Below are 20,254 nucleotides of genomic sequence, written 5' to 3'. Positions count from 1 at the left end.
GTCTTTTTAGAAATTTGTCAATCTCATCTAAGTTATCTATAATTATTGGCATATAGCAGTCATAGTATTCCTTAATAAGGTTTTCAGTAGTGTCCCCTATTTCATTCCTGCTTCTTGTCATTTGAATCTTCTCTCTTCTTTTCTCCATAAATCTAGTTAGAGGTCCGTCAGTTTTGTTGATTCTTTCAAAGAACCAGCTTTTGGTTTCACTGATTTTTCTCTATTGTTTTTCTATACTCAGTTCCATCAATTTTATATCCAATCTTTAAAATTTCCTTCCTTCTGCTTCCTTTAGGTTTAGAATGCTCTTATTTTTACAGTGTCTTAAGGTGCAAGGTTAACTTGATGTTCATCTTTTTCTCCTATACTATAGGCATATTCCTGTCTATACATGTCCCTCTAAGAATTACTTTAGCAGCCTTCCATACATTTTGCTATATTGTGTCTTCATTTTAACATTTCTTCAAGTATTTTCTAATTTTCTTTTTCATTTATTCTTTGACTCAGTGATTATTTCGGTTGTTTAATTTCCACATATTTGTAAAGTTTTTTAAATTTCATTGTTATTGAGTTCTAATTTCATTCCATTGTAATCACAGAACATACTTTATATGAATTTCATCTTTTTGAATTTCAATTTTTATTTTATGTTATTTTATTTTTAGAAATAGGATCTTACTATGTTGCCTAGGCTGGATTTGAACTCCTGGGCTTAAGCAATTCTCCCACGTCAACCTCCCTAGTAGCTGGGTTTATAGGAACATACCACCATGCCCAGCTTTCTGTTTAAATTTATCAAGGCTTGTTTTATTGTCTAGCGGATTGTCTATTTTGGCGAATATTCCATGTGCACTTGGGGAAAATTTATATTCTGATATTTTTAGGAATAGTGTTTATAGATGTCTGCTAGGTCAAGTTGGTTTATATTGTTGTTCTAATTTATATTATGCTGCCTGTTTTTAAAATTGATATTGAAAGTGGGATATTAAAGATTCCAAATATTATTGTTAAAATGTGTATTTTTTCCCTGCGTTTCTGCTGCATTTTGCTTCACATATTTCAGTGCTCTGTTATTAGGTTCAGTTATGTTTACAATTGCTTTATCTTCCTCACGGATTGACCCTTTTATCATTATAAAGTGTCCCTCTTGTCTCTGGTAAGACGTTTATGTTTCAAGTTCTTCTTTGTTTGATAGTAGTACAGCCACACCACCTTTCTTTTGGTTGCTGCTTGTAGAATATATTATTTTCTGCCCTTTTACTTTCAATCTAATTGTGTGCAGAAGAGGACCTCAGTTTGTCTTTTGATACGTAAAGAAAGCCAATGTAAAGTGATTTAGCAAACTAGTCACTCTATTTTCCCTTGCTTTTCAACCATTTGTGTTGCTGAAGAACCTGAAATTCTATTTTTTTTAAAAAAAATCTCAACTTTTATTTTAGATTCTCAAGGAGTACATGTGCAGGTTTGTTACAAAGGTACATCGCATGATGCTGAGGTTTGAGGTATGGATGATATTGTCACCCAGATAGTGAGTATAGTACCCAATAGGTAGTTTTTCAACCCTTACCCTCTTCCTTCCTTCCCCCTTCAGTAGTCCCTAGTGTCTATTGTTCCCATCTTTATGTCTGTGGGTACCCAATGTTTAGCTTGCCCTTATAAGCGAGAACATGCAGTATTTGGTTTTCTGTTTCTGCATTAATTTGTTTAGGATAATGGCCTCCGTTTGCATCCATGTTGCTGCCAAGGACACGTTTTAGTCTTTTTTATGGCTTCATAGTGCTGCATGGTGTATATGTATTACTGAAATGCCAGGGGTTTAGTCTACATCCTGCACAAAAAGCCAATCACTGAAACAATGAGTATTGCTAGGCAAGAGGGCTTTATAGGGTGCTCCAGCTGAGGAGATGGAAGATCAGTCTCAAATCCATCTCTCTGACTGATTAAAATTGGGTTTATATAGCAGGGAAGAAATATAGCTACATGTAGGAATACAGGAATTAGGGAGGAATAAGGAAGATGAGTTGGTCAACAGGAAGCTGATGATCAGTTAAGCAATCATGATGGGTAGGGGTTTGGAATCTCATTTTCCAGATGTGGTAATCTGGTAAGTTTCAGTTCCTTGATACCATCTGGGAGGCCTGATGGTTTCCTGAGAAAGGAACTCAGATAAGACAGTTGTAAACTTTCTGAAGTTTTAAGACTGGGAGGGTCAATTTCTATATTTATTCAAAAGAAACCATAAAGATCAGTTCTGTGGGACAATTGGACCAGTTTCAGGTATACTACATTTTCTTTATCCAATCTACTGTTGATGGGCACCATGGCTGATTCCATGTCTTTGCTACTGTGAATACTGCTGGGATGAACGTACCAGTACATGTGTGTTTTTGGTAGAATAATTCATTTTCCCTGGGTATATACCCATAATGGGATTGCTAGGTTGAATGATAGTTCTTTTTTCAGTTCTTTGAGAAATCTCCAAACTGCTTTTCATAGTGACTGATTTAATTTACATTCCCACCAACAGTGTATAAATGTTCCCTTTTCCCCACAGCGTCAGTGACATCTGTTGTTTTTTGACTTTTTAATAATAGTGATTCGGACTGGTGTAAGATGATACCTCATTGTGGTTTTGATTTGCGTTTCTTTGATGATTAGTGATGTTGAGCATTTTCTCATGTTTGTTGGCCATTTGTATGTCATCTTTTGAGAGGCATCTGTTCATGTCTTTTGCCCACTTTTCAATGGGGTTGTTTTTTCTCGTTGAAATATTTAAGTTCCTTATAGATTCTGGATATTAGACCTTTTTCAGATGCGTAGTTTGTGAATATTTTCTCCCATTCTGTAGGTTGTCTGTTTACTCTATTGATAGTTTATTTTGCTGTGGAGAAACTCTTTAATGAGGTTGAACTTGTTAATTTTTAGGTTTTTTGCAACTGCTTTTGAGAACTTAGTCATAAGTTCTTTGCCAAGGCCCATGTCCAGAAAGGTACTTCCTAGGGTTTTTTCCTAGGATTTTTAAAGTTTGAGGTCTTACATTTAAATCTTTAATCCATCTTAAGTTAATTTTTGCATATGGTGAAAAGTAGGGGTACAGTTTCATTCTTCTGCCTATGGCTAGCCAGTTATCCAAGGACCATTTATTGAATAGGGAGTCCTTTTCCCATTGCTAATTTTTGTTGACTTTGACAAAGATCAGATGGCTGTAGGTGTGTGGCTTTATTTTTGGGTTCTCTATTCTGTTCCATTGGTCTGTGTGTCTGTTTTTGAATGACTACTATGATGTTTAGTTACTGTAGCCTTATAATATAGTATGAAGTTGGGTAATGTAATGCCTCAGGCTTTATTCTTTTTGCCTAAGATTGCTTTTGCTATTGGGACACTTTTTTGGCTCTATATGAATTTTAGAATAGTTTTTTTTTTCTAATTTTGTAAAAAACAACATTGGTAGTTTCATAGAAATAGTCTTGATTCTTTAGATTGCTTAGGGCATATGGCCATTTTTATGACATTGATTCTTTTTTGTTTGTTTGATTTTATTTTTGAGACAGAGTTTCACTCTTGTTGCCCAGGCTGGAGTGTAATGGCATGACCTTGGCCAACTGCAACTTCCATCTCCTGGGTTCAAGTGATTCTCCTGCCTCAGCCTCCCGAGTAGTTGGGATTACAGGCATGCACCACAACACCTGGCTGATTTTGTATTTTTGTATTTTTTTTTTTTTTTTAAGTAGAGATGGGGTTTCTCCTTGTTGGTCAGGCTGGTCTCCAACTCCTGGCCTCAGGTGATCCACCTGCCTTGGCCTCTTGGCCTGCCAAAGTGCTGGAATTATAGGCGTGAGTCACCACATCTGGCAGACAATGGATTCTTCTAATCCATGAGTATGGAATGGTTTTCCAACAAAATTCTATTTTGAATGTCAGAAACTAAATTAGTTTTTATTTCTCATTACATTTGGGGATCAAAAGTGGTTTTTCTCTTTCTCAAATCTTTGAAGAAGTTATAAGATTTTAAAGACTAAAAAAATACTTGAAATTCCTGTAGGAATTCCTGTAGGATAATATACAGAAGATTTTATAATTGCAAACTCAGTTATTATGAAGTACCTGTCACCAAGGGTTATGCATGTTTATCTCTTAAAAATAAAATGATTTATTTGGCTTCTTAATATATTGTTTATTAACCAGTTCTGAATTTTGGAGAATTCTAGTCTTGGTCATTACATTAAACTGGAAAATAATCTAATGCAGGTTGGTCATTACATTAAACTGGAAAATAATCTATTACAGGTTACCTCATATATAGAAATAAAAAAAGGAAATTATTTGCATATGCTATCACTGTGGATCTATTATTTCTAACTTGACACATTCTTCCAAAGTATATGAAATTCAAGTACTGTAAATTCTATTATATATTACCCAACTTTCTTAAATAATATCAGGAAGAAGGATAAATGGAAGTATACATTTTAATGTATATTTTATATCTACTTTTTTTGAGGGGAAAAGTTATATTGTCAGTTTGCCAGAAAGCTCTGTATATCATGCTATGAACTTGACTGATGAATGAGATGGGCTTGTAGAGCTATTCTTTTAGTATTTGTTGAACGTAGTCCTCAGATCCTCAAATGAGAGCCCAAGCCATCAATATAATCCTCACTTAACTGTATCATGCATTCTAGAGCTAAGGTTGGAATAAAATTTTGAAAATGTGGCTTGATTATTGCTAATAAGATTTCTAAACTTTCTATATAGTCCTTGAACACTGTAAATGAGGTAAGTAGATTTTTAGAAAAAAGTTATGAAATAATAGATATAAAATATATGAATTTAAAATTATCTTATAAGATAAATATTGAGTAAAAGTAAATAAATAAAATTTTGAGTTAAATATTACACAATTCTGTAATGTCGTTGATGTCAAGTAGTGATTTCTTTTACACATCTTACATTTTCGGCTTTGTATTAGGAAACAATTATCAAAGCAGCTAAACCAGAAGAAATGTAAGAACTACAAAGGTGCTGAGTAAGGAGGAATACTACACAAAATAAAGATGGAGTTATTGATTTTTTTCCCAAGACGAAATTCTGTTGTAGAAAAGAGATCAGAGAAAACATTTTAATAATTTATGCACACCTTATTAGGAATATCTTTCAAAGTCTCTTTTTTAAAAGATTCTAACCAGGTGCAATGTCCTTGTTTTGAAGGATATTAGAGATATTCTAAAATTAGATGAAATGATAGCACATCCCTTGACTCCTATCTACACATATTTTATAAAATACTTACTTTGTGTTGACATCGGAGCCTTTTGGGAAGTTAACAACTATGGAAGATTTAGAGACAAAAGAAAGAGGAGCCTTTTGTGTTGACTTCCAATATCTTGTACTAAAAAAAATTCTGTAGAGAGATCATTTGGAAAATAATATCTTTGTATAGTTTAATTGCCATAACTACAAACAAAATAAAAAGCAGAAATATAATTCTAATTATAATGACTTATTTTTCGTAGGCTACACTTGTGAGATCCACTTGTAAATTAGTATCTCTGATTTTTTGTTCTCCTTATTAAAGTTGAGAAATTGATTTTGATTTATAAACACTTCTGTAATTTAAAATTATATAATAAGTATTTGATAATTTTTTAGTTAGATAAGGTTTTTCCACGATGAGGTATTTTTAGTGACTGAATTGTTTCTTTCACCTTTCTATTTCATAGATGCCATCTTTATTACAGTGTTTTCCATCAATAAATATAATATAAGTATTTGAAGATTTTCTATCAACTGTGCCAACAAGATACTCTGGTATTCAAATACAGACAGTTCCTTGTGGTGCTTATTATTTGGGTAATTTGGGAGCACAGGAGCCTCAAACAAGAGTTGCATTTTAGGATAACTGTTTCACTGCCTGCTCTTCTGTCCACTTTTAGTGCTGGAAAGTGGAGCTTTTTGTTCGGCCTCTGTGGATTTCATGGAAAAAGTATCTTCCAGGCCAAAGACTACTCAGATAAAAGGTTTCCTAAAAAAGACTAAATAATTCTCCCTTTCGCCATGGGCTTTTCTTGTTTCCCCTTCAAACCTGCTCCCCTCCATCCCATTCGTTTTCCTGTGCTTAGTAGGCATACTTCCAAAACTTTGGAAAATAACTTTAAAATTTTTAATGTTTTTCTGCATCCAAGAATGCAGTAAACTTTAGTTTGAAAGCACTTTACACCTGTTGAGTTAGCATTAAAAGATTAGTTCAGTTTGTTGCATTCCATGATTTGGCAGAAATAGAATTTTTTAGGCATGTGGCTACTTTGGGAGAAACTGGTTGTAGAGAAATAATGGTGATATTCAAATCCAGAGGACCAGGCCCAAGAGAAATCCTTGTAGGTCCTGTGACTTGACATCCTAACTCAAGAGCAGCCAGCTCTATTGGTTGTTCGAATTAAATGAAAATAAAGTTCTTAAAGCTTAAGTGTTTCAAAAGTACATTCTAAAGAGTTTTGTTGATTTGTTTATCGCATTTATGAAACATGCAAGTTAGTTAAGTCATTTATGACTTACTAAGAGACCCTGACATTTCAGAGGGTCTTTATGTGCAATAGTGAGTTTATTTGCTTTATTTTTTGTTTTGGGAATCAATTTTAATTGAGGACCGAACTATGTCAACAAACAAAACACATTACATAAAAACACCTGTCTTTCCATACTAGCTCAGGAGTGCTCTCCTGGGGGACACCAGTTTCTTCGGAGTCCTTATAGAAGTGTCCGTTTTGACTCATGGCACCTCCAGCAGTCAGCTGTTCAAGACCTAATATGTGACCATTCCCTCTCCCCTGGATGGTATAGATTTCTCATCCTTGACAGACCTGCCGAGATGCCAACCAAATGTGTTGAGGTATGTCAACTCCCTAAGTACTGCATGTTATTTTCCTTATGTGTTTTTCATATGAGAATTGTATCTTTTTACCACCAGCTTATTTCTCATGCTAAAATGTTGTTTTAATTTTGTATTGAGTTAATCTGAAAGACTATTCCCACATTACCTAGTCTAATAATAATAGTAATTGTTAGTGTTATGCTCCATGCAGTCCAGAAACACTTTCACCGACAATATCTTGTATAAAAGTTTACAACTGTAGCATACAATCTATCATCATTTCCATCAAACAGTGCAGAAAACATATATTCTTAGGCATAGTGCTCTTACAGTCACAGGTAGCAGGTCAAAAAGCTGAGTTTTGAATACAGGCAGTCGTTCTCCAGGGCTCAGGTGCTTAGCTGTATTACCTGCAAATAGTAAAATACTGTGTGTCTAAAGTGCTTGTTTTTGTCAGTTGTTACCTGTCACTTCATTTCTTAACTGATGGAGTAAAACTTACGGGCTCAGCACCTCCTATTCTAAGACTAATAAGAACTCAGCCTGGCAGTGAAATCTCCAGGTATTTTCTGATCACAATTGAAAGACAGTGTACCTGCAGGACATTCAATACTCTGGAGGCATATGGCCTTATCTCACTGAATCTCTCTCCTCAATCCCCAAATTTGTGCAGCCAGCATACCTTTTTTTCTTTATACTTGTGAATATGTAAGTGTATGTCTTTCAAACACATCAGGTTTAAATGGACAAAATTAAAAAGGTTTTGTACATGAACTCACATCGGATGTGTTTTTTTTTTTTTTGCAACTTAACTTTACGTAACGTTCACTCTTTTTACAACACGATATGATTGTGATCATAGCATTGTCTTGTATAGTGAACTAGCCCAAGTGGCTTCTTTCATTCTTATTTCATTTGACAAATACATTTTCTTCCAAAATGCTTCAAAAAATAAGCAGAAGAAAAAACATAAAGTGTGATTTCTTGGGTTGTCCCTCAGCTATCTTGCATTACTTATCCAAGCCACTCTGAATTTCTATTGACAATTCTACTTATCCTTGGCATGATTTTCAAATGCAAGTTCCCCTAATTCGTTCATAGTCCCCATTCATCTAATGATACTGTCATGAAATAGACATTATTTCTACTTATCATACTTCGACCAGTTATCCTGTCAGTTCAACTCTTATTATTGATACCACATTTTTATCCACATGATCTAAGGAATGAGACTAAGTCTAAATCTGTCAAAACACTAAGCCCATTAACTCAGCATCCTAAGTTATATGATCAAAATGGTAAGAAGGGTTTTAATCTGACGTTTATTTTGCAGCTTATAAATTCCCTGCACTTGCGGACATTATTGCATATGTAAACTCACTAGTTCTCTCAGTGATGCTTTTAGGTAGCTAGTGTTACTTCATTATAAAGATGTGGACACAGACACTAAGCATGAGTCACATGACCAAAGTCATGTACCTGATCTTCTCCCTTATCACAATCTTTCTCAGCTGACTGGTTTCCCAAGTGAGTTCTGCATAAATAGGTGTTCAGTTGTGATAGGTAGCTAATAGAGGCATTGTATTATTGAAGACATATGTCTGTGTCATGCTTCCCAAATTACTAACGTGTTCATCATCACTCACAATTTTACCCTATATAATTATACACTTTTTGGGTGTGAGTTCATTCTTAAAGTCGATTTTCTTTTAACCTAGAGGTCATGCAACTACCATTGGCCCCTGGAGAGAGATCACATCATATAAGATTATGTCTTAGCAAAAGGCTTGTTTTCCTTATTGTTATTCACATTTTATAAATACTGCAGACACAGGAATCATTTTCCTTTTTAAGCACTAATGTAAAAAGATCTCTGGAAAGACATTGAAATTTTAACAGTGTTTAATTTTAATGTGTGGCATTGTGGCTAAGTCTCATTATCTCTTTTTTGTTTATTTGCTCATTAGTCGCTTTTGTGACACTTCATTTGTAAAGAACTAAAAAAAATTCAGAATTTAAAAGAAAAGCTTGAGAAAATTGGAGGAACTTCACCACATTTAAAAATATTTGTGTTTTTCTCTTAAGGCTGATTTAGCTATAATTGTTTCTAGAACCTCACACGAATGTGTAGGTGAAACAGTTTCCTTGGCTGTTTTCCTGGAGATCAGCTAACCTGAGCAGGCTGTGCTCCAGGAGGAAGTGTTCCCTATCCCCACCCTCTCATTCCTTTTTTGTACTAAGGCTTTAAAGTATTCAACCAGAAAATCAATAGATTTTTTTTCTCTACAGGTTAATACACGTGGACTTACATAAATTACTATTTGTAATGTTTTAAATAATGCTTATGCATTACATAAAGCTTAGGAAATAAAGAACAGGAATGGAACAACATTTCTTCATAATCTATCCACACAGTCATAACTACTGTTATTAACATTTTGCTATTGTTTTATCTTATTTATATTTCGTAATGTTCATGTTATATGTTCAATTGAAAAACATGCTATTCTTTTTCAGTTACAGTTATAGCATTATCATTTTCCTATTATTATAAATTCATTTTCATAATTTTTGAAAATAATATTATGTCATACATGTATCATATTTATTTAAACCATCACCATATGTGTGGACATTCAGGATTTTGCTATAATAAGTAATTCTGCAATTGACGAATGTACATGTAATTATTGTTTTAATTTTAGTGTCTTTAGTAAGATTGATTTTTATAAGTTAAATTAGTAATGGTTAAAGTCTTTTTGAGGCTTTTGATACATATAGTTGTTCATTTAAAACATAGTGATAATTTTTAATTCCAATAGCAGTACATAAACATACCTTTTGCAATACTGAATATTCTCATGTATTTATTAGGCATTTGTGTTTCTTTTGTGAATTACCTATTTGTACATTTTGCCCATTTGTAGTCTTAGAGTTTTTAAATGGATAATATTACATGGTTAAAATAAAATAACAAATATAGTATAATTATACATAAATATAACACAATATAGTACTATTTACATATAATTTTATTATTTAACTTTTATATTTTAAAAATTATAATTCAATCACATATATCAATATTTCCTTTATGTTTTTCCTTTGCTTTGAAGCATAGAAATAATAACAAGAATTATAACCTGGCTAACGATTTTTTAGCCATTACTATGTAGAAGTTGCATTATATACATTACTTTATCTATACCTCACTATGGCACTTTGAGGTGGGTACCACTTCCACCTAATATAAAAGAGAAGGATGTTGAGTGCCTTGTCCAAGATCATGCATTTAGTAAGGGCCCTGGTTCTTCCCAAGTCATACATAGTTTCTTCTTATTTTTCCTGGGTTATTTTTCTATTTAATTCTATTTTTTATCTGAAAAGGATTTTGATAAATGACTTCAAGTGAGGTTTAAACTTTCTTTCTTTCTTTTTTTTTTTTTTGAGATGGAGTCTCGCTCTGTCGCCCAGGCTGGAGTGCAGTGGTGCGATCTCAGCTCACTGCAGCCTCCACCTCCCTGGTTCAAGCAATTCCTCTGCCTCAGCCTCCTGAGTAGCTGGGATTACAGGCGCACGCCACCACACCCGGCTAATTCTTTTGTGTTTTTGGTAGAGACAGGGTTTCACCATGTTAGCCAGGATAGTCTCGATCTCCTGACCTCAGGCAATCCGCCCACCTCAGCCTCCCAAAGTGCTGGGATTGCAGGCATGCGCCACCGCACCCCACCAAACTGTATTATTTCTAACTTACTAAACAATTTTTCCATCACCAGATTTTGAACAATACCTTCCTTCTCCCCGATTTTATTGCCTCCTGAACTATGCATTAACTTCTTGTGCATACTATTTCAAGCAATTTTGCAAGAGTTTTCCAAGATCAGTTTATCTTTGTGTTATGTGTTAACATAACTTCAGATTGACTTGTCTTATTTTAGAATGTATCAGCTATTTTAGTAAGGTATCTGAGATCTAATTTCCCTTGTTTACAATACAAATGTAATGAATGGAATAAATGTATTAATATTTACATTGAATGTGTAATTGAATGAGTATATTAATTATGAGATGTGTACCCTTAAATTTAGTATTCCTTAAAACTACTTTTCCTTGTATAGAACAGGTACAAGCCATAATTTTTTTAATGATTAATGATATTTTAAGGCTTGATTAGAATAAAATGCAAAGTTGATATATCTACAATGGATGAAAATAAACTGAATTTTCAACTTTTGTTTTCTCTCCTGCAAAAGATGAACCATTGTGGAACTCAGGCCCCCATCTGGCTGTCTCTGAGAGATTCAGAAACACTGCCATCTCCTGGGGAGATCAAGCAATTGACAGCTTGTGCAACATGGCAGTTTTTGTTCAGCACTACAAAAGACTGCTGTCTCTTTCAAATCCCAGTGTCTGTAAGAAACTGTGGGAACTTTTCTGTATACTTACTACAACCAACTCAGGGATGTATGGGCTACTGTGCGGAAGGTAAGAAAACACCAGTAATTCACATGACTGTTATTCATGGAACTCTGCCATTCGTACCATTCTCTGGATAGGTTGTATTGAGTTAGTGCAAATCTCAGTAAGATACTCAGTCTACCATTATTGCTAGATTGAAGCTAAATTTCTGTTTACATTGGTCAAATTTCTTTAGGGTTCTTTGCCAAGATTGTAAAGTCCCCCCACACGTGAAAGCATCAAAACAGACATCTCACATTTTTCCACTGGACATAATGATTGAGTGTGTTAAAAATTCTTTGGTTTCCTCAAGTCCATTCCTGTTTTAATTAAAGGATGAAGAAGGGTGAGTAAAAGTTATCATAAAAATATACATTTTATATTATTTCATCTTTCATTCACCAATATTTATTGAATGTTTATCCTGTGCCAGAAATTATTTAAGGCCTCAGAGTTACGGTGATGAGCAAGATAAATGAGATCTCTGCCTTCATGAAACTTACATTCTAGTGGAATGCTTCAGACAATATCTAAAAATAAACTGAATATGATTCAAAGATTAAAGTAAATATCCCTAAGTTCTTACTTTATAAATGTATGAGTAGATAATTAAATAGAGGCAAGGAAACGAAGCGTCTTTAAAGAATTACAAATTATTGTTGCTACTACTTCACCTAAAAGATTTTGAATAACTTCCCTCATTTTGGTTGTTGGCTGCATTTGAGTTGTTTCCAAATAATTGGGTATGATAAGGAAAAAAAAAATCTACTAATTTTACAGTGGAGAAACCTGGCAGACATTATATTAATCAAGTGATTGCAGTTAACTTTACTAGTGATAACGCATGTTGACATCACATGTCTCCTGATAACATGTAATAATAAGAGCACTTCTCTTTTGTAGTACTCTTCCCCCAAAAGCATAATCCTAGTCTAATAATGAGAAAGTTTATATAAACTCAAATTAAAGAACACACTAACAAAATACCTGAATAGTACTGTTCAAAAATGTCAAAATTATGAAAAACCAGGAAAGAATAAAAAACAGTCACAGATTAGAAAATAATGAATAATGCAATGGGATATCCTGATTGGGAAAATTGAAAAATTCAGATTCGTAAAATCTGAGTACAGTCTTCAGTTTATTTATTTGAGAGTGCACTCCTAAGGTAAATCTCCTAGTTTTGACAAATATATCATGGCTTTGTAATATGTTAACATTTGTGGAAGATTGATAAGTGCAAATTCTCTATTATTTTTGCGACCTTTTTGTGAATCTCAAACCCCAATTTAGTTACCTGGGTTCAACCATATATAGGACACTGAAAGTTCCGGGAGACACTCTTTTAGACAGTGTTATCAAAGCAGATGAACACTTGATTGAGCAACAATGATGATTATATGGGTAACACTCATGAACATTTTATTACTGAGGTTGTTAGACTCCCCAAGCTAGCCGACCCCAAATCACACAATTATAGCAAACAAGTAAAATCACTTAGTTGGTTATTATAGTAGTTAAAAGGAAACATAGTTTTAGGTTTTAATAAACCAATATATTTATATATATATGTGTGTGTGTGTGTATACACATAAATATACATAAATATGTATATATACACATATATATAAAATACCCAATCTCAAAAATTATTTTGCTCGTCATAGCTTTGGAATTTAAACCAGTATTATTAGAAAAATTGATTCCTTTAAATTTCTAGCATTCTCAGAAATCTCTCTTAATGTCAGCAAAAATAATAATTACAATAAGTTTTCTCCTATGGTTAATTTTTTGCTGAGTCTGTAATGCAATCTTTTTTCATAAAAACAATGACACACACTCCAATTTCACATTCTGTTTTTAACTACTGTTTTATTTCCAAATGACATCTAAAGTTGATGTAATATATCATTATTGGCCATAATCTCAAAGCAAATAATGCATTATTGTCTACTTTACATGATTATAGAAACTAAGACAATGTTCTCAACATATAATTTTATTTCAGTGTTTTGAAATACATACTACATTTATGGAAAATTGAATTGTTTAGATTTACTTTATCATTAACTGCAAGGCAGTAGTTCTATCTTTAAAAAAGAAATAAGGCTAAATTATTGTTTATTATTATAATAAGATCAAAATAATAAACTTATAAAATTTATTAATTCAAATAGGTATTTATTGGCAGTATTCCACAAGTATAATAATAACGCACTAATCATTTCACACATATGTACTGCTGGAGTTATGCTTATTTTCTAATCAACACAGCATCTCCTTAGTACAGAGGGGTGACCAAAACAAATGTGGTCCCTGCCCACATGGCACAGAGTATTCATGCAATTATAAATTGCAATTGATGAATGAAAATATTAAAAAATACTGTAGAAGAGAATACTGAAGGTGAGAGAGGATGAAATATATAATGAAGCGTCACCAGCGAAACGTCTAACAAAAGGGCACTGATGCTGAGAGCTGGAGGTTAAACTGTCCTTGGTCAGACAGAAAGCAAGGGGAAGAACATCTCAAACAGCAGCTGCAGCAAGCAGCAGGCCCTAAGGCAATAAGAGTATGTTGTACTCACAAGAGTGAAAGCCAGACAGAAATATTAGATCTCAATGAGTGAGGGAGAACATAACAAGATGGGGGTTTGAAAGCGCAAGGCCTGATCATTTAGGGAGCTCTGCGTTTTGTTCTGTGTGCAATGAGAAGTCTATGGAGAATTATCCTGAGGGAGTGAGCTGGTAAACCTTCACATTCTGTACACAGCTGCTGTCCAGCTAAAACTGGCAGTCTGTTTACTAAGAAAGGGCAGCATCTGCTCAGTTTAGTATAGCTAGTGGCATTCATTAGGAAGGAGAAAATCCAGAGAGATGCATCAATCTCATTGGGTGGCCAAGACAAGAGTTTTTGAAATATTTTAAAAATATTTTTTGGCACTCTTGTCATAAAAAGTATTTAATTTTTATACATCTTCCTATAATATTACCAAATATTTGTGGAAAATTCTGTGTTTCATGGAAAAACCCATCATTTATCTATATTAGTTTAAGAAACATTGACAACTAATAAAAAAGAAAACAAAACTTTCACACCAGGGAATAACATAAAATACAAATAATCACTTCACCACAAATATTTTTTACACTGAATTTAAAAACATAATATTTAAAATTTGCATTTTATGACATCCCTTCCAAATTTAAAATATTTTCTGTTTTGTTAATGTCACTATCATCCACTTGATTTCCTAACCCAGAACACTCAAAAGTACCTCATAATCTCCATATTCAAGTCCTCTAAGTAATTAGGGAGAAGGAATTCTGGGAGACAATTGTTATTTTTTTACTCTTAATGTCTGTTAATCAAACATATGCATGAATTATTCTCTCTGGCTTGCCGATAGAAGCTTGCCTTGGAATACCGTTTAGAACTTAAATTAGACTGCATAGATAGCAAACAAAAATGACAGTCACTTAATCTACTTAAGAGTTTCTTTTTCTTACTGAACAAATATCTGGAGCAGGTGTTCTCTGCTGATGGCAATTTGGCCACTTTACAATGTCAGGCTGAGGTCTCTGAAAGTCACTAATCTTTTCCTTCATGGTGACAGGATGAAGCTCCAGTTTTAGCCTCTTTATCTGCATTTAGACAGGATAAAAGAGAAAGTTCAAAAGGTGAAAGAGAGCTTCTGCTAACTGAAATTTACTCCCTTTTAAGGAGCTTATTTGGAAAAAGCCTTCTTATCATAACTACTTTAGAAGAATTCCCAGGATCATCTCTATCTTCGAAGGCAGTCTGTGAAATGTCATTTTTTACTTGGACGTATTGCTGTCTACAACCAATAGCCCCTATCTAGCTAGGAGTCATAATATTTAATTTTAAAATCACCAAAACAGCAAATAGTAGAGGGCAAAATTTCACTTTAATATCATAGTCTCATGAAGACGTTTTGATTCTCACAGAATTCATATATATGTGTATATATTTACACAATCTATATATCCCTAGAGCCTTCTAGAAGTCAAGAAAAAATATTAATTCAAGATCATAATTGTAATCAAAGCAATTCTAAAAAAGTTTATATATTTGAAATATTATTTATTTAGAAGACTCTATGGAAATATGAATATGTGTTATATTTTTTGTATTTCTACTTAGCAAGCTAGTTAGGTCCTTATACTACATGTGAAGTAGCATCATATCAATTAAAGTTAGCCTATGTAGCCTATGAGAAGTTAAAAATGTATACTATATCCCCTAAAGCTTCCAACTTCGTGTCTTTTAGTTTAAATACTAAATTCTTTCAAGAAGCAATCTGATGAGCCTACCTTTGTTTAGATAGTTGCTCTTGTGCCAGTTAACTGTATTTAGAACATTGGGTTGTTAAGTATTACCATCTCTGTCCTTGGCTCATTGGTGGTATAATCCTGTAAATGAGTATGGGGAATTGATTACCAAGGAACTGGCATAAAACCAACTGTTGTATACATTTCTGGAGATTATAGTGTGTTTCACTATTATTATAGATTTCACATATACTCTGTAAATCTCCCACATGCATAGTCCCCCAACCCCATTGTCGACGTCCCCCACCAGAGTGCTACATTTGTTATAATTGATGACCTACATTGACACACCATTATCACCTAGTCTATAGTTTACATTACGGTCCGCTCTAGGTGTTGTAAATTCTATGGGTTTGGACAAATTTCTCATAACGTGTATCCACTATGATAGGAACATACAGACTAGTTTCACTACCCTAAAAATTGCCTATGCTCTGCCTGTTCACCCCTCCCTCCTCTCAACCCCAGACAACCACAGCTCTTTTTACTGTCTCCATAGTGTTGTTTTTTCCTAGATTTCATATAGTTGGAATCACTTAGTAGGTAGCCTTTTCAGATTGGCTTCTTTCACTTAATACTCATTTAAGTTTCCTACATGTCTTTTTGTGGCTTGATAGCTCAATTCTTTTTAAGGCTGAATAATATTCCATGCTGTCTATATGTACAACAGCATATCCATTTACCTACTGAAGAACATCATGGTTGCTTGCAAGTTTGGGCAATTATGAATAAAGTTGCTATAAACTTCCATGTGCAGGTTTTTCTATGGAAATAAGTTTTCAGCTCCTTTGGGTAAACATAGAGGAGCATGATTTCTATGTCATATGCTAAGAGTATGTTTAGTTCTGTAAGAAACCACTAAACTGTTCTCCAAAATAGCTGTACCATTTTGAATTCTCACCAGCACCTGTTGCTCCACATCCTTGTCAGCATTTGATGTTGTCAGTGTCTCACTATTTAAAAATGCAGATTTGTACTTAGAAAATAAGATATTAAAGCTTTGATTGTTTTGAAATATGATGCCTTATCTTTTCATTTGATCTCACCCTTAAAAGGAAAAAAATGTTATGAAATAAGAGAAGAATTAAGAAAGTCTTAGTCTGTATTAAATCATCCTTCAATAAATTGTCATCTTGGATATATGTAGATGTATATCTTCATGCCCAGCTGAATAATTATACAAACCTTAACCCTTGGCAGCTATTTCTGATGCACGATTACACCCATGTGGTTCTGATGAAACTGAAACAGGAGGTGATTGTGTTCGTAAGTATCATATTTTGCTTTTTTAATAGTGTTTTTATAAACTAGACTATTTCAACAGATAATTATATTCTGCAGCTTTGGATGTTGAATTATATTGATATTTGATATAACCAAAGTCTGGTAGCTATCAAAAATAAAAATAACTTTATCGTGCCTTTAAGAAATAGTCCTCGAGTTGGGTGAGGTACAGAGAGTTAGGCAAACGTGTGTGTATTAGTAGAATCTTTCATAAGAAAATTTGGCAGTTCATATCAACATTCTTAAAACTCCATGTGTGTTTGTACCTAACAATTCTACTTTCAAAAATATGTCTTAGAGAACTATTTAGGGAAGTGTGCGAACACAATATTTATAACAGAATTTGTCTAATAATGTTTTAAGAAACCTGCAAACATCCAGTAACTGCTGATTGGCTGATTGAGTCAATATTTCTGATACATAAACACTGACAAAATATTTTGCAAACACCATTAAAGTATAGAAGTACATTATACAATACAACAATGCCTTTTTTTTTTTAAGGGAACGATTGTATTTATGTCAAATAAATCTTGAAAGACAAACATCAATGATGTTGATAGTGATTAAAATTTTTCTCTTCCTTTCAATGTATACTTTTTATTTTCTATTTTTTAAATATTTTAAAGTTTTTTCAAATATTAAGAAATCCTCCTACTATAATATGCCTTAAAATAAATTACTCTAAGTAGATTATCTAAGTGATAAAATGTATGTCATCTGCCTACATGATGGGCAGAAATTGAAATTATTTATTGAAATATTAGCCTTTTATGGGATTATTAGCCTTATCATATTTTGTTAGCCAAATAGGATAACTGAAATGCATGAGAGACTGTTGACATATAATTAATTTAATTAACAGAGGTGTTTTATATGGTGGAACAAGCCATAAATACATAAAATAAATCAGGATAGATCATATAATGTTCAAATATCAGGCCTAGAAATGATTATGCTTGGTATTTTAAAAAGAGTTTTATAATAATCCTCAAAATTTATCACTCTGAATTGAATTTTCATGCTCTATTTCATGCCCTATTCCAAATGGTTTTTTTCTAGCCCTTTTTTTTGTATATTTTACACAAGCTATTACTGTATGTGGAGGTCAGTTTAATTAAGCCCTGTGATTTAAGTTCACAAAGTAATAAAACAATATTCATAATAGCAGCAGTAAACATAAAATGTAATTATTTGACTACTCTGCATAATAGATATAAATTCTCTATACTGTATATGTATTGTAGCAAAATCACTTTTTCCTCTTGAATAAATAATAAATTTCACCTACTTATTATGCTCTTTAGAACATTTATGCAATTAATTAAAAAAAACTCTGCTATGCAAATTGCACACAATTTGGGGAAGCAACACCAAATGAAAGTATTGAGTCAAAAGTCAATAAAGCTTCATGGTAAAATGGAAAATGTATTAATATATTTAATACATACTAATATTACAATTGACAAAGGAATACTAATTTTGATTTTCTAAGTAGACATAATTTATCTGTTGTTTCTAAACCTTTTTCTTTAAATATAACAAATTTTGTTTCATCTATACTGTTGCAAGCAATGATCAATCTGCCCAGATAGTTCTCAATTTAAAGTATTGATTCAAACATTTTAATCATCATGAATTATTTTTTTCAGTCATTTGTCTTCTCTTATTCTTAATAATCATTTCCATAGATAGCTTTTCCCTGTTTTAAACTAAATGTCCTTTTCCTAGTTTATTTAAGGATAAATTTTTACTCAGATATATAATATTTAAAATCAAATATATATTCAAAAGTAGTTTATTATTTCCTTCAAGTTCGAATATACTGATTTGGTCTAATGTTTAAAATGCTTAGCAAAATATTTGTTAACTAGGTAAATTTGAAAATAATTCATTTGTCATTGGGACTATAACAAAATAACACTGTAAAATATCTAAAAGTACATTTTCTCCACAGAAAAGGTTTCAAGGTCTTTCCAGAATTTTCCAAAATCTACATGGCAAGGCTGAAAGATTATTTTGTGATTTTCCTAAAATTAGCATATTTATAAAATAGACAAATTATTTTAGAACATTTTAAAATCTTCTTTTAAAAATTTACCACTCAGATATTTTTCCTCTTTCTAAAACAGAACAAAACTAAACAAAAAACTTATCCAGAAAACTTTCAGATCCCCAGATTTGATTTTGCAAATGCCCAGAGTTCAAAATGATATAAAATTTTCCTGTGAGTTCTTAGAGGAAACTTCAAATTTCTTTAACCTCAGAAAAATGAAAGGAATAAGATATTTCACTAAGATAGTATAATCACCTCTGCAATGAATAACTCTTTCAGCCCAGAGTAATGATAAGTTGAGTTATAAGAGAAAACTGTAACAGTAAGAGAGAAAGTAATTTGATTTTACATTCTTGTGGCTATTTCTCATTATAACAAGGAATTATAATGTACTAAACCTTAATTTTGTTTGTTCCATCTTTTAGAAAAGATAAGTGCTTCAAAGAATGCAAATTTCTTTTCAAGAGCTAGACTTTTCAAAGGCAGATATTCAACCTGCATTAATATAAGCTTGAGCTGATAACGTTGCTTGGCTATCAATATTTGTGTGATTATGGGCCAGAATATGAAAGTATTACTTTGTTGATTGCTAGAAATAATCATTTTTCTAAATTTAGCTTGCTTTTTCTTAAGATAAACCACAGAGTTATAGTCTTTGAGTGCTTTTTCCATAAGCCAGTCTCCATTGTCTAAGATTCCCAGTTACAAATTATGCATTTTCTCCCCAGGTCAGCTGGCTGCCTCATTGCCACCTCCACCTGCAGGAAGGCCAGAGGTTCTGGTGGAGTTGATTGAGTCCAGGCTTTTCTGTAGGTGTTCTTTTGATGTTCCCGCTACAAAAAACTCAGTGGGATTTCACATAGCTTGGTCTAGGCTTTCTTCTCAAGAAGTCAAAGAGGAGCTGACACAAGAGACCACAGTTCAGGCATTCTCTCTTTTAGAACTTGATGGCATAAATCTCAGACTTGGAGACAGGGTATGTTAAAAAACAGTTGCATTTTATTTTCATGAATGTATTGATTTTCAAACACGATTTTTAAACATCATATCCAAAAAATAGATTTTGTCCCCAGAGTATAAAGCCCTAATATTTTTCTTTTTGTTTTTTTTTCCTTGCAATTGTGCTAATTCTCGTGATAACTGGAGGAGTCAGTGATCTTAGTGACTATATATGAATATATCATTTTAGTAATTTGCTGATTATTATTAATCCTTTTTTATATATATATTTATTAT

General features: G+C 32.8%; 1 protein-coding gene across 4 annotated transcripts in view; it reads left to right on the top strand.

Annotated features, from left to right (window-relative positions):
- VWDE (von Willebrand factor D and EGF domains) overlaps nucleotides 1–20,254 on the top strand; it is a 72,981-nt gene that overhangs the window by 3,386 nt on the left and 49,341 nt on the right. For 3 of the 4 annotated variants that reach the window (NR_144534.2, NM_001346972.2, NM_001135924.3), the window contains exons 2-5: nucleotides 6,702–6,886; nucleotides 11,122–11,353; nucleotides 16,879–16,944; nucleotides 19,747–19,994. Coding sequence is in view for 3 of the 4 variants with exons in the window: in NM_001346972.2 (NP_001333901.1) it covers nucleotides 6,702–6,886; nucleotides 11,122–11,353; nucleotides 16,879–16,944; nucleotides 19,747–19,994 (731 nt within the window). In the remaining variant the exon portion in view is untranslated. Of the gene's footprint in view, nucleotides 1–6,701; nucleotides 6,887–11,121; nucleotides 11,354–11,522; nucleotides 11,673–16,878; nucleotides 16,945–19,746; nucleotides 19,995–20,254 lie in introns of all 4 variants that reach the window. The other variant, NM_001346973.2, reaches the window with a different exon arrangement.

Source organism: Homo sapiens, chromosome 7 (genome assembly GCF_000001405.40).
Source record: "Homo sapiens chromosome 7, GRCh38.p14 Primary Assembly".
In the NCBI taxonomy this organism is placed as follows: domain Eukaryota; kingdom Metazoa; phylum Chordata; class Mammalia; order Primates; family Hominidae; genus Homo; species Homo sapiens.
This window is presented reverse-complemented; position numbering and strand designations above follow the sequence as displayed.